At 39.5% G+C, this 24,216-nt stretch overlaps 1 protein-coding gene and 1 pseudogene across 4 annotated transcripts, besides 4 other annotated features; one reads left to right on the top strand and one right to left on the bottom strand.

The window, feature by feature from the left end:
* Window positions 3-638: an enhancer, noted in NCBI's record as "NANOG-H3K27ac-H3K4me1 hESC enhancer chr1:67895894-67896529 (GRCh37/hg19 assembly coordinates)". NCBI's record gives its function as "activates a minimal SCP1, AML or CMV promoter by ChIP-STARR-seq in naive H9 embryonic stem cells {active_cell/tissue: H9 hESC(naive)}" and the evidence as "EXISTENCE:reporter gene assay evidence [ECO:0000049][PMID:30033119]".
* Window positions 6-85: an enhancer, noted in NCBI's record as "active region_1179". NCBI's record gives its function as "activates an Ori minimal core promoter by ATAC-STARR-seq in GM12878 lymphoblastoid cells {active_cell/tissue: GM12878}" and the evidence as "EXISTENCE:reporter gene assay evidence [ECO:0000049][PMID:35858748]".
* Window positions 296-565: an enhancer, noted in NCBI's record as "active region_1178". NCBI's record gives its function as "activates an Ori minimal core promoter by ATAC-STARR-seq in GM12878 lymphoblastoid cells {active_cell/tissue: GM12878}" and the evidence as "EXISTENCE:reporter gene assay evidence [ECO:0000049][PMID:35858748]".
* SERBP1 (SERPINE1 mRNA binding protein 1) lies at window positions 447-23,039 on the top strand. 4 transcript variants are annotated; one of them, NM_015640.4, is made up of 8 exons: window positions 447-861; window positions 4,564-4,714; window positions 5,626-5,766; window positions 5,890-5,961; window positions 6,572-6,649; window positions 10,663-10,840; window positions 15,510-15,683; window positions 17,586-23,039. In NM_015640.4, exons 1-8 carry the CDS (start codon window positions 549-551, stop codon window positions 17,640-17,642), a joined length of 1,164 nt encoding a protein of 387 aa, NP_056455.3. In that variant the 5' UTR covers window positions 447-548; the 3' UTR covers window positions 17,643-23,039. The 4 variants fall into 4 exon arrangements, with proteins under 4 accessions (NP_056455.3, NP_001018078.1, NP_001018079.1 ...); NM_001018068.2 differs by having other exon boundaries at window positions 6,527-6,649; NM_001018069.2 differs by having other exon boundaries at window positions 5,872-5,961.
* Window positions 1,274-1,910: an enhancer, noted in NCBI's record as "NANOG-H3K27ac-H3K4me1 hESC enhancer chr1:67894622-67895258 (GRCh37/hg19 assembly coordinates)". NCBI's record gives its function as "activates a minimal SCP1, AML or CMV promoter by ChIP-STARR-seq in naive H9 embryonic stem cells {active_cell/tissue: H9 hESC(naive)}" and the evidence as "EXISTENCE:reporter gene assay evidence [ECO:0000049][PMID:30033119]".
* On the bottom strand, window positions 13,531-13,635 carry RNU6-387P (RNA, U6 small nuclear 387, pseudogene; annotated as a pseudogene).
* Window positions 23,040-24,216: the final 1,177 nt, after the last annotated feature.

The following is a 24,216-nucleotide window of genomic DNA, read 5'->3' as shown; positions in this document are numbered from 1 at the left end:
CACCCCCTCCCCCGGAAGTTTGTGCGTCTCAGATGTAAGGTCTGGGAGTCACCTTGACCCCCCTGGAGCGGTGGGGAAAGTTAGCCCTGAGCCCGAGGGGGCGTGAGTGAAACCAAAGAGCACTTTCGCGAGTCAGTTACGCCGTCACGGTTTTTTGGTTTCAAGGTAGCTGAAGACCTAGAGAGTTTAAGGGTGGCCAGAGCAGGTGGCAGGACTCCGCCCACCACCACGCTTCCCTTCCTTCAGCCCGCACGCTTCACTCCCCTCATGGGGTCTCGCCTCTCAGGCGCGCGCGAAGAGTTGTCGCGCGGTGCGTCCTGGGAATTGTAGTCCCGACGCGGAGAGTCGCCTCAGGAGAAATGACTCTGGCCTACATACCCCACAGTGCCTTGCGGCGCAGGCCGCTCCCGGATGTGTGCCTGGCGCCGGAAGAGAAGACGGCCCCCCTCTCTCGGCCCGGCCATCTTGTGGGAAGAGCTGAAGCAGGCGCTCTTGGCTCGGCGCGGCCCGCTGCAATCCGTGGAGGAACGCGCCGCCGAGCCACCATCATGCCTGGGCACTTACAGGAAGGCTTCGGCTGCGTGGTCACCAACCGATTCGACCAGTTATTTGACGACGAATCGGACCCCTTCGAGGTGCTGAAGGCAGCAGAGAACAAGAAAAAAGAAGCCGGCGGGGGCGGCGTTGGGGGCCCTGGGGCCAAGAGCGCAGCTCAGGCCGCGGCCCAGACCAACTCCAACGCGGCAGGCAAACAGCTGCGCAAGGAGTCCCAGAAAGACCGCAAGAACCCGCTGCCCCCCAGCGTTGGCGTGGTTGACAAGAAAGAGGAGACGCAGCCGCCCGTGGCGCTTAAGAAAGAAGGTAAAGCAGGGGCAGAATGTGGGGGAGACTGGGATGGAGGGAAGGAGCGAGGGGGCTGCCGGCTGCCACTTGTTTCTGGAGCTCCGAGGGTCCGCGGGAGACTTTGCCGCCTATATCCTCACGTTTCTTCACGCGACAAAAGTCCGGTCCTGCGAAGGTGCCAGGAGCGTGGTAGCCCCAAGTTCAAGCCACCGCCGGCGAGGTTCTCGGAGCCATCCCCTTCCCGCCTCAGGTTGTGAGCAGAGGAGCGTGGTCGGAGATGAGCTGCTCCTCGAGCGCGCTCGAGGTCCTGGGAGGCTGTTGCCTTCCCGCCGGATTCCTTGGCGGGTGAGCGCATGGACTGAGGTGCGGGGAAGCCGGCCCCTCACCGAAGCTTTCCGTAGTTACGGAGGAGCTTGGGGGTCCATCGCTGCTTACTGCGCAGAGCTGCTCCTTTGAGGTGCTGTTGTTTCAGGCTCCTGTCCTGCCGTCTTGTCCCACGACGGCGCGGAGTATCCCCGCTGAAAAGCAGGGGGTCGTTCCAGGCCATCAGACGTGTGGAGTAAGCTGCAGGTTGGGGTGCCGCATGTCCTTTATTTGTTTCTCTTCCACCTCTCAACTGTTAGGACTTTCTCATAACTTGCTGGGGTGAGTTGAGCCGTTGGGAAATGGAGGAGTTTGGCCACACTCGATTAACCAGGAGCGGGAATTATGAATGAAGACTGGTGATTGCAGGACATCCCGAGGAACGTCCTCGAGTCACGATCCTCTCTCTCGACTCCCCAAACTGAATCTTTCACGTGGTGGGGTCTGGGCCTCGTGGGTGAAGTGAGTGCAGAGGCTGTCACAGCGTTAGTCGCAGCAGAGCTCTTTAGAGTTCGCAGTTTTTTTTTTCCACCACATGTGCGTGAAGCATGGTCAGAGTTTCACTGGCGGTTAATAGTTGTTTCTAGGGCACTGTGAGTTTCACAGGATTGTCTTGATTTTTGCATTCGCTTTACCAGTTTGTTGCGGATGAAAAAAAAGAGCAAGCAGTTTGGAGATAAGAACGTGCATGATCAATAGCAAGCAGGTGTTGGACCTAAGGTCTGAATCTTTAAAGCTGCATTTATATGTTGAAAGTTGAAATTACCCCTTCCTGCCACGTGCTTCTCTGAAAGGAGTTGTTTCTCTTTAGCTTTAGTTGAATTCTGTAACAGTGAACTAATTTTAAAAATCAAAACAATTTTCTCGTGGTAGGATTTGTTTTAGGAGGGTTTTTTTTTTTTTTTTTGAGGACTTTTGTGAGGCTCGGAATGAAGAACCTCGGTCCTAGGTGGTGAATAAAAGAAAATAATTAATTCTTGTGGTAAAATTATAGGTTGAGGAAAAATACAGTTGGAGTATTAGAAAGCATGTATATCACTTAGGCCAAGTATCTCTTCAGCCAGTTAAGCTTTATGGCAATCTAGCACAATTAAATAAATCATTTAATTCGTGTGTTAAGTAACGCTGACTTGTGTAATTATTTAAACTATGCTTAAGCTTAAGAAAGTACACGAAAAAGTTGAATCTGACGAATAATGTGTACCAGGTAGATGTGTTCACTCATTTTGAATGTTCAAAACATGAAGCATGGTTTAAATGCCTGAGTTATTTTGATCATGAAGCCCATCTATGAAATAAGCTCTTACCTGAAAAGTAGTATTTTAAGTTAACAAATGTGGGGAATGATTTCATGAAGTTAGAACCAAGACTTAGGTTCACCGTTCAATGAGTCTTTCCATGGGAAAACTATTCCATGTTAGCAATCAGCATTTTCCTTAGGTCAGTATTTCAGAGCACTACTGTTAAGTTGCATAAAATACAAGCATGTAAAATACAGGAAAAGTGTTGAATGGACAATACCCGTTTTGAGATTCTACTGTCCTGATTACTGGGAATAAATCTGTAAACAAAGTCGCTGCATGTAGTAGGAAGGTTAACCTGATTGTGTTCTGTGATTTTGATAACACATTGTGACATAATACTTGACATACTTTAGACAGATATTTAATGTTTATGTTTTATGAATTAATTTTGTACATTCTCTTGCCCATTTGAAGAACTTGAGAATTGACAGCAGAATGTCATTGAGAGTGTAGACCAGGGATTTTCTAAAAAAGAATGAATGCCTTGAAACTAGTGCAGTTAGTGAGCTTGCAAGTTATAGATAAGTATATCAAAAGAAGCTTGCATTTTTAAATGTCAGTCTTTTTCATTAGGTAGGTTTAATACGTTTTTAAGATTCTGTAAACTTGATATTGGGTGGGGACGCCAACTATTGTTCACTTGGGTGTGTTTGGCTTGGATATTATTGCAAGGACTGGTTCCATAACTCCACCCCAGTGCACTTTATTACTGATGACATTTATTTAAATACCTTGGTGTAAGGTCTAATATTTGTAGTCTATCTTGAGTATTTACAGGGAATGAACTTCAAAATTCTATTGAAGAGATTGATAGTTACTGTTTGGCTCCAGTTAACAGGCAGCAGAACAACTGGGTGTGTCTTGATGGTGTTCTACTTTCTTAGAAAGAACCAAAGTGAAGCAGCTTAAAATCTTGTAAAACCAATTCCTCAGCTGCTTTATGACTTTGTCAGAAATTGGGAATTAGAGCATACCAACAATCTTAAAGTCATTAATTTAACCATCAATCTGTTGATCCTTATGGGCACCAATAATTTAAATTGGTTGCCTTTGTGGGGTTTCAGACATTACAGGAAAAAAGTAGTAAAGGGGGAAATTAGTAAATGCTTCAGCTATCACTTAGTGTCACAAGTTTTCTTATTTCTTACATGTTGCTTAAAAGCGGTCTTAACGTGTGTGTATTTGGTTTTTAAAGATTCTTTGAAAATAAAGATAGTTGTTAGGGCAAATTTTTTAGAGGACTCTCTCCATGCATAATAAGTAACTGTTTCCTAACTTGGAAGTACTTAGGGATGTGGGAGTGTGTACAAACATATATACACTTACATGCTATAAAATTTTAAACTTTAATAGGGGAAGATGGCCCTTTTTGTGTGCCTGTAGCTAAGAAGACCAAAAGATGACACTTTTTCTGGTTAAATGGCTGTTTTAAACTGAAGTGATGTTCTCTAATAATCCTAAATGCCATATTTTCCTTTCAGATTTGTAATTTTATAGAATTATGAGTCTTAATTGCATTTTTTTTTCAGATTAGATAGAATAACATAGTGCGGCCCTCACTTTTGTGAGGGGCCATATCTAGTGAGTGTGTTGATTTGCTTGGTTATTTATGAATGGCTGCTGGTATTTTCTTTGGTATTTTAAAAGCCAAAATGTATTGCTTGCCTAAAATTTTTTAAATTTAAAAGTTTTTATTAAGAGACTATCTTGGAAAGTGACGGGAATAATGGTTGCCCAAATGATTTCCAAGTCAGTTATAGAAAATGCTTTTGAGGGGGAGAACTTGGCAAACTTAAATAGAAGTTTAAAATAAGTTTATTGTTTTTATTTTATTTATTTATGTATTTAGTCGGTGGTATGGATTGGAAGGTTTATTGTCTTTAAATGGCAGTTTTCCTAAGGTACTTTGTTACACATTAGAGTTGCCCAGTGTTTGCTTTTTTCCAACAGGAAATGGTAGTGGATTGGAAGAGAAGCAGCTTTTGACAGTCCAGGCCTAAAGTTTTTGGATTGCAAAAATAATTTGCTTATGCAGGTTATCTTATCGTTTTAGGAATAAGACGAGTTGGAAGAAGACCTGATCAACAACTTCAGGGTGAAGGGAAAATAATTGATAGAAGACCAGAAAGGCGACCACCTCGTGAACGAAGATTCGAAAAGCCACTTGAAGAAAAGGGTGAAGGAGGCGAATTTTCAGTTGATAGGTAAGTTGTTTCTTGTTTTTGAGCCAGGGTCTTGGTCTAACATGTAGGCTGGAGTGCAGTGGTACAAGCTTGGCTCACTGCAGCCTCTGCTTCCTGGGCTCAAATGATCCTCTCATCTCAGTCTCCTCTTGAGTAGCTCGGACTACAAGGTCACGCCACCACACTGCTAATTTTTTTTGTAGAGCTGAGGTCTCACTATATATATTGCATTGGCTGGTCTTGAGCTCCTGTGCTCAAGCTGTCCTCCTGCAATATTGGGATTACAGGCGTAAACCAAAGAAGTCTTCATATTTTGTTACTTTATAGAGTCACATTTTAATGTTAAGCTATAAATTGGGCATAATTGCCAGGTAGCAGTCTGGCTAATTGTTTCTATTAATTTTTCACAGAAACATCTGTATGTGTGCATTGTTAAGCTTTAGATCTTTGGGTAACAGTTCAAACTTAGGTCTCTTGTAATGGAAACACTTTGTTGAATTGATAACCAATTTCTTTTTCTTTCTCTCTCCAGATACAGAGTTAAAAGGAAAATACTGTTAGTTGAAGGAAAATACTGTTGGTTTATTGTTTATAGCAAATAAATTACTTATGCAAGTTAGATGTGTTTAATTTTTAAGTGTATTGGTAAATAGTGATGGACTGGATTATATGTGCAATGAATAGCAGTGGAAAAGTATATGCACTGGTAGTAATGCTTTAGAGTGCTAAAATAGTTTTCTTGTTTTGGGAGGCTGTCTTGTTCTGGTTTCCTTTGTGTTTAGAAACAGACTATTTTGAATTTTCTGAAGTGTATGTATTTAACTATTGGTTTTTGAGCCAGTAAACATGTTCTGTATTTTTGATCTTTTGGATGAATTTTCCTCATTTCTTCTGGAAACCATGGAAGTATAATTTATTTGTTTATATTATAGACCGATTATTGACCGACCTATTCGAGGTCGTGGTGGTCTTGGAAGAGGTCGAGGGGGCCGTGGACGTGGAATGGGCCGAGGAGATGGATTTGATTCTCGTGGCAAACGTGAATTTGATAGGCATAGTGGAAGTGATAGATCGTAAGTCTTACTGGTTTTTATTTTACTTTAATATTTTAATCTATTTAATAAACAAACTTTGAATTTCTAGAACTAAAGAGTATTATGTTAACTCAGTTTTGTTAGTTCTTTTTCACATTACAGTGGCCTGAAGCACGAGGACAAACGTGGAGGTAGCGGATCTCACAACTGGGGAACTGTCAAAGACGAATTAACGTTGGTATTCTGATTTTCTTAAAAATTCTATACCTAACTAGAGGTTAATCCATACCTCTGTCAAATTTTACTTGTCTCTGAGATAAGAATGAATGCTCTCTTCTGAGAGTTACTATATTACAAGATAATGTCTTATGGGATGGGTTTGGGTTATAGTATATTGAATGACCGGTTTTTTAATATTTCGATATATTTGTTACTCATTTTTTCCCCCCCATATGTATTTGTAGCTTTTCCTGAAACCCCACAATAAGGTTATTTGGGTATTCTGATTATCTTAGTGTCCTTAATAGTTCCTATTCTAGCTTTTGACTTTGTTGTCATTACAAAATTTGATAAGCTAGTAAAGCTTCATTTTATAATTAACTGCCTTGTTCTGTTACTTTTTAAGTATGAAGTATATGAACTAACTAGTTTATATTGTTTACTTTTCGACGTCTTCTGGGGAGTATATTTAGTAAGAAAGGAGTTAGAGAATGTGAGAGCTTATGGTATTTTTGTATGAAGAACTTTTCAGCTACATGTAAATGGACCTAGATGCCTTTCTTTTTCTTTCTTTCCTTAGAGAGTCCCCCAAATACATTCAGAAACAAATATCTTATAATTACAGTGACTTGGATCAATCAAATGTGACTGAGGAAACACCTGAAGGTGAAGAACATCATCCAGTGGCAGACACTGAAAATAAGTAAGTGGTATTGCGTGTAATAGTAATGACCCAGAATTGAAAGCACTGGAGTTTTACCAATAAGATAACCCATAGATTTAATGCTGTTACTTGATGGCTTTTTGTTTTTGACAAGGGAGACTTACTGTACCCTCATCCCTCAAAGAGTATTTGAAAGAATGCTTTTTTTTTCTTTTTTTAATAGAGACAGGGTCTCACTATATTGCCTAGGCAGGTCTCCAATTCCTGGGCTCAAGCGTTCCTCCTGCCTTGGCCTCCCAAAGTGCTGGGATTACAGGCATGAGCCACTGCACCCAGCCCTTAAAAGAGTGGTTTATGTGTATATATTTGACTCTAACGCTTTGAAAAATAGAATATTTTAATGTGGTTATTTCTGTTTGATTAGTCATTTTACCATTGTCATACAACTGTACAAATTTTACTTTGAGATAGTTAAAACTAGAAAATGTGGCCATTTTAACATTAGTTCTATCTTGAAGTTATTTCCAATGTAGAATTTGGAACATAGCATTACTGGCCTGTTTTTAAATGTATGAAGAGAGCAAAGATCAGAGTATGTTATTCACTATCTTTTTTTTTTTTTTTCTTTTTTTGAGACAAGATTTCATTCTGTTGCCGAGGCTGGAGTGCAGTGGAGTGATCTTGGCTCACTGCACCCTCCGCCTCCTGGGCTCAAATGATCCTTCCACGTCAGCCTCCTAAGTAGCTGGGACTATAGGTGCCTGCCACCAGGCCCGGCTAATTTTTGTATTTTTAGTAGAGACAGGGTTTCACCATTTTGCCCAGGCTGGTCTTCAACTCCTGAGCTCAGGCAAGCCACCCACCTTGGCCTCCCAAAGTGCTGGGATTACAGGCGTGAGCCACCTTGCCCAGCCCTTCACTAACTTTTTTTTTTGTGTGTGTGAGATGGAGTTCACTCTTGTTGCTTAGGCTGGAGTGTAGTGGCACTGTCGGCTCACTGCAACCTCCGCCTCCCGGGTTCACGCGATTCTCCTGCCTCAGCCTCTGGAGTAGCTGGGATTACAGGCACCCGCCACCATGCCTGGCTAATTTTTTATATTTTTTAGACCAGCTGGCCAGGCTGGTCTCGAACTCCTGACCTCGGTGATCCACCCTCCTTGGCCTCCCAAAGTGCTGGGATTACAGGTGTGAGCCACCACACCCAGCCCTTCACTAGCTTTTAAAATTACATGGTGTTTTGTTTTGTTTTGTTTTGTTTTGTTTTGTTTTGTTTTGTTTGGAGACATTCTCGCTCTGTTGCCCAGGCTGAAGTAACAGTGGCGCTATCTTGGCTCACTGCAACCTCCGCCCCCTGGGTTCAAACGATTCTCCTGCCTCACCCTCCCGAGTAACTGGGATTACAGGCATGCATCACCACGCCCAGCTAATTTTTTGTATTTTTAGTAGAGACAGGATTTCACCATGTTGGCCAGGCTGGTCTCGAACTCCTGACCTCAGGTGATGCATCCGCCTTGGCCTTCCAAAGTGCTGGGATTACGGGCATGAGCCACCACGCCTGACCTAAAATCATGTTTACTTTGCCAGTTATTTGTTACAGTATTGTGGTTTAAAGTCTTGGATTACAGGTTATTTAGGACAGTGATTCCTAACCAGAAGCATATTCAAGTTAGTTGGGGGGTGGGAGGGGCAGATGTTTTCTAAACTTTTTCTTTTTTCTTTTTTTTTTTTGAGATGGAGTTTTGCTCTTGTTGCCTGTGCTGGAGTGCAATGGCGTGATCTCGGCTCACTGCAACCTCTGCCTCCAGGGTTCAAGCAATTCTCCTGCCTCAGCTCCTGAGTAGCTGGGATTACAGGCATGTGCCACCACGCCCGGCTAATTTTGTATTTTTAGTAGAGATGGGTTTCTCCATGTTGGTCAGGCTGATCTCGAACTCTGACCTCAGGTGATCTGCCCTCCTTGGCCTCCCAAAGTGCTGGGATTACAGGCGTGAGCTGCCGCACCTTAAACTTTTTCTTTTCTTCAGAAAGAATTTGCTCTTATGGTGAGCACTGTTAATGATGGGAATATCATATTCCGTGGATTTGTTGGGATAAGGAAAAATGATATACTATTGGAGGGAGTAGATAAAAATACATGGTATTGGGTGATGTTTTGAACTTGGTAATAAAAATTTATGCAAAACTATAATGGAATCATAATTTTGCATGATAAACAATGAAGTTGTGATTGGTGCCTTAACAAATGAACCCTATGCAACGTTAAGTTTCTCATAGTGGTCAACACAACTTTTTTTTGTTTCTTTGAGACACAGTCTCCTGTCTCCCATGCTAGAGTGCAGTGGCGCGATTTTGGCCATTCTGAAGTTCAAGCGATTCTCCTGCCTCAGCCTCCCGAGTACTGGGACTACAGGCATGCTCCACCATGCCTGGCTAATTTTTGTATTTTCAGTAGAGACATGGTTACACCATGTTGGCCAGGCTGGTCTTGAACTCCTGGCCTCAAGTGATCCTCCCGCCTTGGCCTCCCAAAATGCTGGGATTACAGGTGTGAGCCACCGTGTCCAACCACAACTGTTTAATAGAGCCCATGTTCAATCACTCAGTGATATGCAAAGATTATAACTGTTTACCAAAAGGTACTAATGTATTGATAGGCTATTGGTAGCAAATCCTTAGCTCAGTGCCCAGGAGCGAAACTGAGGGTGTTTGGTTTAAAGAAAATAATTATCCATCACATTAGAACTGTCTGTAATCTTATTCCAGACTAGGGGAGAATCTGGGCATAGCATATGGAAGTATAAATTTAAGAAACACAACATTGGCTGACTTTGATGAACTAACTTATATATAGCTTCCAGAGCTTCTGTTTGGTTTTTATTTAATCCTTGCAGTAATTCCTGAAAGGTAGGTGTCATGCCTCCATGATATGATAAAAGGTATGCTAAGTTCTATTCCTGGCTGTGTCATAACATATGGGTAAGCAGGACTTTTTTTATATTCTTAGATTTCTCATCTGTAAAATGACTAGGTGGACTCAGTACCCAAGATCCCAAGATCCTGTCAATTCAATATAAACTTGCTCTAGGAAGTTTTTTGTTTTTTTTTTGCAGCATAGATGTAACTGGAGGAACTTTTAAGATAGCATTTGTCAAACAGTAAAGGGCAGCATCCAGGGAGATATTTGAGCTCTAAGGCTAACTGAATCACCTGCTATCTTTGGAAAGAAGCAGGGCTCCCCAAATAGCAAATGACTTGTTTGGTGACAATTGCAGATTGAGATTATACTAAAATAATGGATCCTTAGGCCTGTGCTTTGTTTCTGTAAAAAGAGGAAAGGATCATATTCTATAGTTAAGACCTGAGAATTATATTTGGAAATAAATGGTTTAGTATTAAATAATGAAACCAGTGTGTGTTTGTGGATAGTTCTATTAGTAGTGAATCCATGGCCTCCTTTCCATATACAGGTTGGTTTGAAAATTGGAGTATAAGGATTTTAGGATTTGTAGAAACACGGCTATTGTTTTGATTTGCTCTAAGTGCTAGTTGCTGAAACAAAGCATAGAGGAACAGTTCTTTTATATTCCAAAATTTGAACCCTGGTTGCTGACAGACATCCTAGAGGATTACCTTCTTGTATGTTATTAAGAGTTACATATTGTGGGAATTATGGAAATTAAAAATGTGGTTTAGGAGAAGATAGGCTGAGGATTTTACATAAGAGGGTAGTTTTTAAACAAGGTAGTGTTTTTAAGAAATGTGTATTTTAGTATTCGTAAAGCCAGTTCTAGATTGTATTACTGATAAATGATCATTTAAGAGTTCATAAGTATGAATTCCATATTCCTTACTTGTCTCTAATTAGCAAACACTGAATTCCTGGTCTCTACCAAGTTGCTTAGTTACATAGGAAACTAGGGTACCCTCATCCTTGAATAATCTTTCTCTAAAAGATTACAAGGTTAATTTTCTCAATTAAAATCATAAATTTAAAATACTTTTATGTAATATCAGCTCTCTACCAGGTATAAAACTTGAAAACCTTTTCACAGGGAGAATGAAGTTGAAGAGGTAAAAGAGGAGGGTCCAAAAGAGATGACTTTGGATGAGTGGAAGGCTATTCAAAATAAGGACCGGGCAAAAGTAGAATTTAATATCCGAAAACCAAATGAAGGTGCTGATGGGCAGTGGAAGAAGGGATTTGTTCTTCATAAATCAAAGAGTGAAGAGGTAAAATTAAGTTTTGTCGTGTTTGAAAATGTTCAGATGTGACTTGAATTGTATTTATAATTTTTGTTTTAAAATTTCACATGGGTTATTTGTCTGTTAAAGCTTTACATAGGATCATTTGGGGCAGATAATTTGCTTTATAAGGAAAATAAACTGTATTATCACATATTCTAAGAAATTTAGTCCTTTGATCAATTTGTAATTATGTTTTATGTGGTAGAGTTACTTTTTCCTAAAAAGCTGTTAGTGGAGTATCTTGTAGTTATTGGTGTTCAGAAATATGATAGTTCTTTTCAAAGTTGTGGTTGTATTTTTGAAATCTTGCCAAACTGGGGATCATTAAAGGGCTGTGGTATTATGGTGTTAGGTTGAAATCTTGACATTTTCATATGGTTTAACCTAAAATGTAAGTGACTTCATTTAGAATTCAACTTTTGAAACTGTCTGCCTATACCATATATAATGGCCAGGACACTCAGTAAATGGCAATGTGCATTTTGTCTAAGGAATGACGACTTTAAAAACCAAAGTATATGTGGGTTTTACTTAAGAAACATGGAAACTAGTGAAAATACAGTTGACTTGTTGAACAACATGAGGATGCTAGGGGCACTGACCCCGCAGATCAATGCACATGTAACCTTTGACTCTCCCAAAACTTAACTACTAATAACCTGTTGACTGAAAGTCTTAGTGATAACATAACCAGTTAACACATTTTGTATGTTGCGTATTATATACTGTGTTTTTACAGTAAAGTAAGCTAAAGAAAATGTTGAGAAAATATATTTACTGTTCATTAAGTGGAACTGGATCATCACAAAGGTCTTTATTTTGGATAGGAAGAAAAGGGATTGGGCTTGCTTGTCTCAAGACTGACAGAGGCAGAATGTTCAAAGCCACGTTGTTCAAGGGTCAACTGTATTGGAGAAAGTCACATTGATGGCTTTTGATTTGGTAGCTTCCGTTTAAGCTTTGGGGTGTGTTCTTAGAGGAATGTTTCAGTGCGGCTTCCTGTTTGGCTTTAAAAACTCATACAAGCCCTAACTATATTATTTCTTCTCCTAAATTCATTTTCTCTATCAGCTTCCTTTAACCTTTTGACATTTGTGTTTGATTTATTCATATCATAAATTGGGCTGTGCCAGAAATCCAGACTGAGTTTTATCATCCTAAGGTAAAGTTAAATTAAAATATTGTGAGGGCAAACCCTTTCAATAAGGTATTAGTTATTTTTATTTTTTTTTTTTGAGACAGAATCTGGCTCTGTCGCCCAGGCTGGAATGCAGTGGCACCATCTCTGCTTACCGCAACCTCCACCTCCCGGATTCAAACAGTTCTTGTGTCTCAACCTCCTCAGTAGCTGGGATTACGGACACTCGCCACCATGCCCGGATAATGTTTGTGTTTTTAGTAGAGATGAGGTTTCATCATGTTGGCCAGGCTGGTCTCAAACTCCTGGCCTCAGTGATCCCCGCCTGCCTCAGCCTCCCAAAGTGCTGGGATTATAGGCGTGTGCCACCATGCCCAGCCAATAAGCATAATTTTTTAAACTGCAAAATGGCTATAAGACAAACTTGGAAACATTTTAAAATAAAATGGAGGTTAAAAAGATTAAAAGTTTTTTTAGGTTTAGAGATGATTTTTAACATTTACTTCATATGAGTAGTAAATGAGGACATTGTCTTTTTTAAGTCCTGTAGAAAAAAAACTGCATTAGAACACGTGGTTTCAGCCAGGCGCAGTGGCTCACACCTGTAATCCCAGCACTTTTGGGAGACTGAGGCGGGCGGATCACCTGAGGTCGGGAGTTCAAGACCAGTCTGACCAACATGGAGAAACCCCGTCTCTACTAAAGATACAAAATTAGCCTGGTGTGGTGGTGCATGCCTGTAATCCCAGCTACTCAGGAGGCTGAGGCAGGAGAATCACTTTAACACAGGAGGCAGAGGTTGCAGTGAGCTGAGATCACACCACTGCACTCCAGCCTGGGCAACAGAGCAAGACTGTCTCAAAAAAAAAAAAAAAAAAAAAAAACAACACTTTAACTTTCACATGTCTTCATTCTCGTGACAAATGTGAGGTAGTTAAGGGGAAGGAAGAAACTATTTACAAATGGAGAACTGTGTTACCGTGTTATTGACAGAGCTCAGAGTTTCTGTTTTCTGCTCCTCATTGTCTGAGTGCTCTAGAAAAAAGGTCGGACACAGTGGCTTACACCTGTAATCCCAGCACTTCGGGAGGCTGAGGTGGGCAGATTGTTGAGTTAAAAGTTTGAGACCAGCCTGGGTAACATGGCAAAACCCTGTTTCTACAAAAAATATAAAAATTATCTGGATGTGGTTGCGTGCACCTGTGGTCTCAGTTACCTGGGAGGCTGAGGCGGGAGAGGATCACTTGAGCCCAGGAGGCAGAGGTTGCAGTGAGCCAAGATAGCATCACTGCATTCCAACCTAGTTGACAGAGCAAGACTGTTTCAAAAAAAGGAAAAAAGAAAAAAAAAAAGGATCCCCCTGCCCTGACTTTATCCCAGTACAGTTTCTTGGTATCTGCAGGGGATTCGTTCCAGGACCCAGAGATATTAAAATTTTCAGATGCTCATGTCCATTATATAAAATGGCATAGTATCTGCATATAGCCTAAACACGTTTTCCCTATACTTTATTTTTTATTGTTTCTATTTTTTAATTTAAAATATAGAACAATTTACAGTTTTGCGTGTCATCCTTGTGGGGATCATGCTAATAATCTTTGTATTGTTCCACTTTTAGTATATATGCTGCCAAAGTGAGCACTCCCTCATACACTTTATTTTGAGACAAGGTCTTGCTCTGTCATGTAGGCTGGAATGCAGTAGCATGGTCACAGCTTACTGCAGCCTCAACCTCCCCGTGCTCAAGCGATCCTTCTAGCTCAGCCTCCTGAGTAGCTGGAACTACACACCTGTGCCAACTCCTGGACTCAAGCAGCCCTTCTGCCTATGCCTCCCAGAGTGCTGGGATTACAAGTGTCAGCCACCACACCTGGCCTACTTTTTATTGTTATATGGTTGGTTGGTTTTATTTTTTTCTGAATATTTTCGATCTGTGGTTTGCAATAAATTGAAAGCATTGGTTTGAAATAGCAAACATTTAAAAATCACACAATTAGTATATATAATTGATTCTAATTTGCTGGTGTTTTGTGAATTTGTTTTTATGTTTCTAGCCTCCTTTAAAATTTGTATTAGAACATTCTATTGCCTTACAGTGTGTTGGTTTGGTACAAAGGAGTGACATTTAATACTAGTATGAGTTGATGTAAGGGGTGAAAACATGGATAAAAACACAAAAATTTATTTGTACTTTAAAGGCTAGTTATTAACAGCTGTAATATTTTAAGTTGAGTCTAATGGAATTGTAATAGTACAAGTTCTAATGAAAGAACAAAATGTTCTTTATCCCTTTAGAAAAGAAGATTCCTTAGATGTATTTAGGAAAAGAGGAAAAGAAAGCTGTACTTTCAAGTCCTATAAGTACAGTTTTCAACTAGAAGATTAAAACCCATCCCAAGCGTACAAGAAGACATCAGGCATGAAGCAGTATAGAATTGTCTGGCTTTTTGCTTTTTTCCCCCAGACTGGGTCATGTATCTTAAACGCAAATAGAAAAGAGGATCTGGATTTCACAAACATGACTTCATTTTTAAGAAGTTTCTAGCTGGGCATGGTGGCTCATGCCTGTAGTCCCAGCACTTTGGAAGGCCAAGGCCAGCGGATCGCTTGAGCCTAGGAGTTTGAGACCAGCCTGAGCAACACTGTGAAAACCTGTCTATAAAAAATACAAAAAAATTAGCCAGGTGTCATGGCATGTGCCTATAGACCCAGCTACTTGGGAGGCTGAGGTGGGAGGATCGCTTGAGCCTGGGAGGTGGAGGTTGCAATGAACCCAGATCGTGCCACTGCACTCCAGCCTGGGTGACAGAGTGAGACCCTGTCTCAAAAAAAAAAAAAAAAAAAGGTTCCTGTGACACATTTAAGGTGTGGTTTTATTTGTGCATAGCTTTACAAGATTCCCCTCTTTATGTAAAGTGTGTAGTGTTTCACTTGAATTTGTAGCTCTCCAATTTGTGTAGAAAAACGTAGTGGTTGTGTATTAACAGAAAATGCTTCTGAGAAGTTTATATCTAGTAAGGTCTTTACCCTAGTTGTAGTTGGAAGAGTGTAGAACAGAGTTTTTCTTTCTGAGTGTTCTTTTTAACTTCAGTGTTAGTGCTAGTAGTAACCTTATATGTCATCTCTCCAGAGGTCTTCATCAAGGATTCACATGGCAGTCCTGATCTGAAGGGCATATTTAAAATGTACTTGTCCAGATTTCACTGCTAAAGATTATGATTCAGTAGGTCTAGGATGGGCTTCAGCCGTTTGGGTTGATTGTGATAGCATACATGTCTTTAGTTGAGGACTGCTGGTATTACCTGCAATTTTGAGATAGAGAAAAGTGCAGGAAAATCTTCCTCCAGGATCACTAAAGCTGAGCCCTAGCTTGTTACCTGTGGAGGCATTGAGACATTTGTTCACAGAAAGTACAGTTTGGATTTTTGGTTTTTTTTAGAAGAAAGCTCATTATTTAGAAATTTTGCAATGTTACTTTTCTACTAATAACACAATCATCTTCACTTATATTTTTAGGCTCATGCTGAAGATTCGGTTATGGACCATCATTTCCGGAAGCCAGCAAATGATATAACGTCTCAGCTGGAGATCAATTTTGGAGACCTTGGCCGCCCAGGACGTGGCGGCAGGGGAGGACGAGGTGGACGTGGGCGTGGTGGGCGCCCAAACCGTGGCAGCAGGACCGACAAGGTAATTTAAGACTTTCTTTTCCTTTTACATAATTTAAGGACCTCTTATAAGTCACTGGCTGGGTCAGACTTATGTCACTTTTGGGAACATAAGTAGAAGTAGTAGCAGTGTCTTTAAGAAACCGCATGTTAGGTTATATTTATGTTTAAAGCACTTAAATGCCTTTTTGTGTAGTGCTGTTAGTAGTGTTAAGTTACCACCCTTTTGAGTTCTTTCTAGGTGCCGGTCATGGTGCTGGGCTAGGCATTTTATGTACTTAATGTCATTTAATTCTTGTTACTGTGATGACATTCTCATTTTCCAGATGAGAAAATTCTGGTATAGTGAATCAGGTTAACTCTTGGCCTTTGCTAAGGCTTACCTGAAAACCAGTCTGTTCACTTTGATAATTCCTAACTGCTTTTTAGGTCTCCACTTAATAACCATTGTGTTCCTTGTATAATTCCTCTTACGACACTTAGGATTGTTGACACTTTTTTCTTTTACTAGACTCTTCTGTGAGAGCTGGGATTCATTTTTGGCTTACTTTCTATAATCTCTCCAATGCCTTGAACAGTATGTGGCACAAAACAAGTTCTTAGAGAAATATTTTGGTGAATTCCCAAGTAATTGATAGATTTGAACTCAGATCTGATGCTTGGAAACAACCATAATGTCCTCCTAAATTCTCAACACCTTACACACAAATTTGGGGACCCACCTACTTGATTGAGTCTGTTTTTGATGATTACAGGGGTAACTTACCATTGCCAGTGTAATGATACTTTGTTCCTCCCTCTAAGACCAACCTTTTTTTTTTAAGGTGGTGGTTGTGTTGATGGGCTTTTCCCATACTTTCTTTTTTAGTTCTGTTATTTATACTTTAGGCTATAAAGAGCAGTTTGGATTCCTTTTTTCAGACTTTCAACCTTGATGATTATTGCTACTTAGATATTAGTTCCTTAGCATGCTTTCACATTGGTGCCATTCTTATTTAGCAAGTGGAAAAAGTATAAGAATACTGAACAATGCGAATTCACATACATAATTGCTTATGAATCTACTTGTATGGTTTATTGGAAAAAGTAAAACAACTGGGCTGGGCGCACTGCCTCACGCCTGTAATCCCAGTACTTTGGGAGGTCTGGGTGAACAGATCACCTGAGGTTGGGAATTTGAGACCAGCCTGGCCAACGTTGTGAAACCCTGTCTCATTAGCCAGGTGTGGTGGCACATCCCTGTAACCTAGCTACTTGGGAGGCTGAGGCACAAGAATCACCTGAACCCAGGAGGTGGAGGTTGCAGTGAACTGAGATTATGTTACTGCACTCCATCCTGAGCAACAGAGTAAGACTGTCTCCAAAAAAAAAGAGAAAAAGAAAACAACCCATATTATTACTCTGGAATGAAAATAGGCCTTGGTAGAAATTTAGGACAGGGCTCATTGCAAATACTTGTAGTTTTTTTGTGATCCATAATTTTGTCTTGATACATTTTACCTAGAATTTTAACAGTAGGATTTTTTTTTTTTTTTTTTTGAGATGGAGTCTCACTCTGTTTCCCAGGCTGGAGTGCAGTGGCACAGTCTCGGCTCACTGCAACCCTTGCCTCCCAGGTTCAAGCGATTCTCCTGCCTCAGCCTCTTGAGTAGTGGGATCACAGGTGCCTGCCACCACACCCAGCTAATTGTTTATATTTTTAGTACAGACAGGATTTCACCATGTTGGCCAGGCTGGTCTCAAACTCCTGACCTCAGGTGATCCACCCACCTTGGCCTCCCAAAGCGCTGGGATTACAGGTGTGAGCCACTGTGCCTGGCCAACAGTAAGATTTTTTTAGAGTTCTGTCTTAATGTAGACACTAGCTAACAATGTAATTTTGAAGAACTGAGAACTGTGGTTAATTTTGGTTTTTCTTTTTCAGTCAAGTGCTTCTGCTCCTGATGTGGATGACCCAGAGGCATTCCCAGCTCTGGCTTAACTGGATGCCATAAGACAACCCTGGTTCCTTTGTGAACCCTTCTGTTCAAAGCTTTTGCATGCTTAAGGATTCCAAACGACTAAGAAATTAAAAAAAAAAAGACTGTCATTCATACCATTCACACCTAAAGACTGAATTTTATCTGTTTTAAAAATGAACTTCTCCCGCTACACAGAAGTAACAAATATGGTAGTCAGTTTTGTATTTAGAAATGTATTGGTAGCAGGGATGTTTTCATAATTTTCAGAGATTATGCATTCTTCATGAATACTTTTGTATTGCTGCTTGCAAATATGCATTTCCAAACTTGAAATATAGGTGTGAACAGTGTGTACCAGTTTAAAGCTTTCACTTCATTTGTGTTTTTTAATTAAGGATTTAGAAGTTCCCCCAATTACAAACTGGTTTTAAATATTGGACATACTGGTTTTAATACCTGCTTTGCATATTCACACATGGTCAACTGGGACATGTTAAACTTTGATTTGTCAAATTTTATGCTGTGTGGAATACTAACTATATGTATTTTAACTTAGTTTTAATATTTTCATTTTTGGGGAAAAATCTTTTTTCACTTCTCATGATAGCTGTTATATATATATGCTAAATCTTTATATACAGAAATATCAGTACTTGAACAAATTCAAAGCACATTTGGTTTATTAACCCTTGCTCCTTGCATGGCTCATTAGGTTCAAATTATAACTGATTTACATTTTCAGCTATATTTACTTTTTAAATGCTTGAGTTTCCCATTTTAAAATCTAAACTAGACATCTTAATTGGTGAAAGTTGTTTAAACTACTTATTGTTGGTAGGCACATCGTGTCAAGTGAAGTAGTTTTATAGGTATGGGTTTTTTCTCCCCCTTCACCAGGGTGGGTGGAATAAGTTGATTTGGCCAATGTGTAATATTTAAACTGTTCTGTAAAATAAGTGTCTGGCCATTTGGTATGATTTCTGTGTGTGAAAGGTCCCAAAATCAAAATGGTACATCCATAATCAGCCACCATTTAACCCTTCCTTGTTCTAAAACAAAAACCAAAGGGCGCTGGTTGGTAGGGTGAGGTGGGGGAGTATTTTAATTTTTGGAATTTGGGAAGCAGACAGCTTTACTTTGTAAGGTTGGAACAGCAGCACTATACATGAAATATAAACCAAAAACCTTTACTGTTTCTAAATTTCCTAGATTGCTATTATTTGGTTGTAAGTTGAGTATTCCACAGAAAGTGGTAATTATCTCTTCTCTCTTCCTCCATTAGAAAATTAGGTAAATAATGGATTCCTATAATGGGAGCATCACCACTTATTAAAACACACATAGAATGATGAATTAAAAAAGTTTTCTAGGATTGTCTTTTATTCTGCCACATTTATTGATAAACAGTGAAGGAATTTTTAAAAAATTTTTAAGAATTGTTTGTCACGTCATTTTTAGAAATGTTCTACCTGTATATGGTAATGTCCAGTTTTAAAAATATTGGACATCTTCAATCTTAAACATTTCTATTTAGCTGATTGGTTCTCACATATACTTCTAAAAGAAACTTTTATGTTATAAGAGTTACTTTTTGGATAAGATTTATTAATCTCAGTTACCTACTATTCTGACATTTTAGGAAGGAGGTAATTGTTTTTAATGATGGATAAACTTGTGCTGGTGTTTTGGATCTTATGATGCTGAGCATGTTCTGCACTGGTGCTAATGTCTAATATAATTTTATATTTACACACATACGTGCTACCCAGAGATTAATTTAGTCCATATGAACTATTGACCCATTGTTCATTGAGACAGCAACATACGCACTCCTAAATCAGTGTGTTTAGACTTTTCAAGTATCTAACTCATTTCCAAACATGTACCATGTTTTATAAACCTCTTGATTTCCAGCAACATACTATAGAAAACACCTGCTACTCAAAACACAACTTCTCAGTGTCATCCATTGCTGTCGTGAGAGACAACATAGCAATATCTGGTATGTTGCAAGCTTTCAAGATAGCCTGAACTTAAAAAGTTGGTGCATTAGTTGTATCTGATGGATATAAATTTGCCTCCTAGTTCACTTTGTGTCAAGAGCTAAAACTGTGAACCTAACTTTCTCTTATTGGTGGGTAATAACTGAAAATAAAGATTTATTTTCATGCTCACTTCTTAAAAGTCATAAAAACAATCAAATAGGATCATGTTTATTGTCATGTGTTTCCTGGTTTCTGACCTGTGTGCACACCCCTGTGTGTTTATAATTTTTAAATTGAATTTTATATGGGGTTTTTATTTGCTAAAAACCAGGCTGTTGAATCACATTTGGGAAGGGTACTTATCTTAATGACTAATGACTTAATTGGGAAAGTTGAATTCTTGTAAAATACAAAATCCAAGGACTTCTTGGATTTAATCTGATTGTCACTTCTTAGCAGATCACTTTTTTGATAATGAAAGTTAAGCATACTGAATGCTACTTTTGATTGACAAACTGGCTATAATAGTCTAGGGGAAAAATCCCTAAACAGATAAAGATTCCTAAAGTAATGGTGGCAGCTGATGTTTCAGTGAACTTTTATCTTGATGCGTTTAAATGGAAGTAATGCCAGACCTGAGATTTTTAAGGCATTTTTACAGCTTGTATTGAAATGATTGGAGACATGGTTTCTTTATTAGCTATTTTGAGACCTGTGGAGTTAAGCAAGACTTTTAAAAATTGGCACCATATACATCTAGTTAGTTCCTTTACTCTTATTTTTTTAAATAAAAGTAGTACACATCATTTCCAGGGTTGTAAATATATTTGGGGCTTGTTTTTGGTATGGATTTAAAAGGAGGATATTAAGTATTCATTCTAATTTTGTTATTTTTCTAGTTGCCAGAGATGGTTGCACTGAAATAGAACAGGGAGTTGCATACAAAGCCTAAATGTGTATTGGATTTCGAAAATACTAGGTTGGTGCAATTGGTTTTGTACCAACCTAACATGTCTTTAGGAAAGTACCATCATGTGGAAGGAAACAACAGGTGTTAAAAGGTTCAAAGGAATGAGAAATAGGAAGTTACTAGAACCTAACTGATGTTGACCTTAGAGGTAAGATTATTCAGGTATATTAGTGGACCTCCAGTCCAATGGTATAGCAAATTCCAGGGATCTCAGGTGCATGCAATTTTACTTTCTAAAGTAAACACTTAGAAAATAGATTATAACCCAGACGTTTTGGATTATACTGAGACAAATATGTAAATAAGTTTTAGCAAGTCTGAACATGTACCAGCGAGATCTTCAGGTTAACTAAGAAAAGCCCAGAAACTTCATTATTTACTGTGCTTTGTATGGCATAACTGGTAACAAGGCAGTAAAATGATACATATTTGAACTGGACCATAGTAATTAAATGATTTATCAATATCATTTGCAAGATAATTGTCAGGTTGAGTTAATAGTAAGTGGCAGCTTCCCAGAAATTTGGGTTATTTGGCCTAAGCTGTGCCCTGGGATTACCTCTTCATCTTCCTTGACTTTTAAGTTCAAATTTGGAGGTTATGTGAAGTGATTGAAATAAATCTTTCAGGCTGAGGAAGTCGGTAATTTCAAGAATATAGTGAAAACAAGGTTGTAATCTAAACATGAGAAGCTTAAGTTTAGGAAATGGTTAGAATATAAATTGCTAAAGCCATCATGATTTTGGCCACAGATGAAAATATGAACACTGGAAATGAGCGCCATTTAAATGAGATGCTGTATGTAAGCCAGGGGTCAGCAAAGTTCAGCCTGTGACCTGGTGTGTGTGGGGGTGTGTGTGTGTGTGTGTGTGTGTGTGTGTGTGTCCGTGTCCCTGAGTTAAGAATGGTTTTTAGGCTTGTATAGGATTAAAAAAAAAAAAAACCCACAGAAAAATGTAGGCAGCCCAGCATAAGATACCGCCTTTCACAGAAATGTTTGCTGACCCCGGAACTGTCACTCTCGGGTTACAAGAGTTTGTTTCTTTGAAACAGTCTGGCTCTGTCACCCAGGCTGGAGTGCAGTGGCATGATCTCAGGTCACTGCAGCCTCCACCTCCCGGGTTCAAGCAATTCTGCCTCAGCCTCCTGAGTAGCTGGGATTACAGGTGTGCACCACCACAGACAGCTAATTTTACAGGTGTACACCACCACACCCAAGAATCACTTGAACCCGGGAGGTGGGGGTTGCAGTGAGCCAAGATCATAGCACTGTACTCCAGTCTGGGTGACACACTGTCTGAAAAATAAAAGTTTAGTTCTAGGTACAAATTAAGTGGTCTACCCAACAGGAAGCTGTGAAATTAGAAGTAATTTTAAAGCATACTTTACACCTCTATATAATCAAAGTAAGGGCAAGATAAAACTTGTTAGTAAAACATGTTTTATTATTTTTTAGATAGGTAGCCTGCAACATAAAATATATTTTGAAAGCTGTTAAGGGGTGTATAATCTGTTAAAAAATACCATGATTAGTATTTCACATTTAGTGACTCAGATCCCTTTGTGTAAGTCCTTTGCGTTGTGCAAAGAGGTTTTTCTATGAGATGAGAATTATGAACACTTCATATAGGTAAATTCCATAGGTTGAGCTGGGGCAGAAATTAATGGCTCCTGGAGATTGCATCTTTTTTTTTTTTTTTTTGAGCTTAGAATTCCCATTTGGACAGAATTTAGCTTTTGTGCTGTTGATTACTTCTGTACTAAACTGGTAGCCAATTGTTCACTTCTAAATGGAAGGGAAAAAGTTACCCACACAAGTTAGAAAATGATTTACCGAATTATTTTTTTGAGTTAGTATGTATATACTGTTTTAAATCAGTAATGTTTGTTCCTTTTGCTGCCCATTTGGGAGTATGTGGCAATTCCTAGTGCTCTTGTATGACATTACTCTTCTTGAGACTTGTATATGCAAGAAAGTATATATAAAAGATGCCTGGTGGTAACTTTGTATCTGAGTTCTGATTCATTATGGACTTTTAGAAATCTATTTAGATAATTGGTTCATACTAGGTGCTCAATTACTCTGACCTTGTGTGGCTTAATCCTTAAATAGTTGCTTTAGGTGTTACTGGGTGGAAGCATGGAAAGTGAAGGGCTAATATTAAGGATTTTTATGTATTACTGAGTAGGGAAAGTGGGAAGTAGCTTATCTTTGGACAGTTGTATTACTTTGCACTAATCACCTTGTTTGCAGTTGTAGCTGATTCAGTTCTAGATTTTAGGACCAAAAAGATCTCTAATTTAAAGAAACAGTTTTTATATACCTAGAATGAAGATTCTGTTTAAAGCGGTTTTGGTTAACTTGGTTCTTGACATTTGCCTAAAATTTTGTTGGATTGGGACTAAAATGTTCTATTAGCCAATGAATAACGTCCAAGTAAATTTTTGTTTTATTTTGGGAACTTTGTATATTGAATTCTTTGTTTTACACGTAACCCACAAAGAAATGTTGCTTCATATGGCAGCTGCACTCAGAGTACTAAGATAAGCATGTGTTTAGACATTTTCTAGACATTTTCAGAGTGCTCCGACAGCTGGGGTTCTTTTGGAAAGAAATGGACTGAAAGTGGGTGGGTTTTGTATTTTTCCCATTACATGACGACATGTTTAGGCCTTCATGATTGGTGTGAACTAAACACATATCTTTGTTTAGAGATAAGACAATTGGTTTGTGTACTTACCCTGAAAATTCATAATTTCGTGTTTTTTGTTTGTTTGTTTTTGAGATGAGTCTCACTCTGTTGCCCAGGCTGGAGTGCAGTGGCGCGATCTCGGTTTACTGCAACCTCTGCCTCCCGGGTTCAAGTAATTCTCCTGACTCAACCTCCTGAGTAGCTAGAATTATAGGCGCCCGCCACCACGCCCGGCTAATTTTTTGTATTTTTAGTAGAGACGGGGATTCACTATGTTGGCTAGGCTGGTCTCGAACTCCTGACCTCAGATGATCCACCGCCTTGACCTCCCAAATTGCTGGGATTACAGGCATGAGCCACCACGCCTGGCTGTTTTGTTTTTTGAGACAGGGTCTTGCTCTGTTGCCCAGGCTAGATTGCAGTGGCATGATCTTGGCTCACTGCAACCTCTGCCTCCTGGGTTCAAGCAGTTCTCATCCTTCAGCCTCGCAAGTAGCTGGGACTACAGGTGTGCACTACCATGCCCAGATAATTTTTGTATTTTTGGTAGAGGCGGGGTTTCGGCATGTTGACCAGACTGGTCTGGAATTCGTGGCCTTAGGTGATCCACCCGTTTCAGCCTCCCAAAGTGCTGGGATTACAGGCATGAGCCACTAAACCTGATCAAAATTCAGAATTTCTAGTTAAACTTCCACTTTTTTTTTTTTAATAAAAAGAACTTTTCATTAACAACTACAGATAATTTGGTTTTAATTTGATTTTGTGTTCTAAGCTTTGTAGTATATTTCTTGCATATTTGCCAAGCCTTTAACTTAGGTGCTAAAACCTAAATCAGGATCTTCTGAAGAATGTATTGGAAGCCTGGATTGGATAAAGCTTTTCTTAAGGCAGATGTTCATTGGTCACTAGTCACAGGCAAATCAATACACATGGCAGGTATATTGTG

Source organism: Homo sapiens, chromosome 1 (genome assembly GCF_000001405.40).
Source record: "Homo sapiens chromosome 1, GRCh38.p14 Primary Assembly".
Classification (NCBI taxonomy): domain Eukaryota; kingdom Metazoa; phylum Chordata; class Mammalia; order Primates; family Hominidae; genus Homo; species Homo sapiens.
The sequence above is the reverse complement of the archived record's forward strand: the minus strand, read 5'-3'. Positions and strand labels throughout refer to the sequence as shown.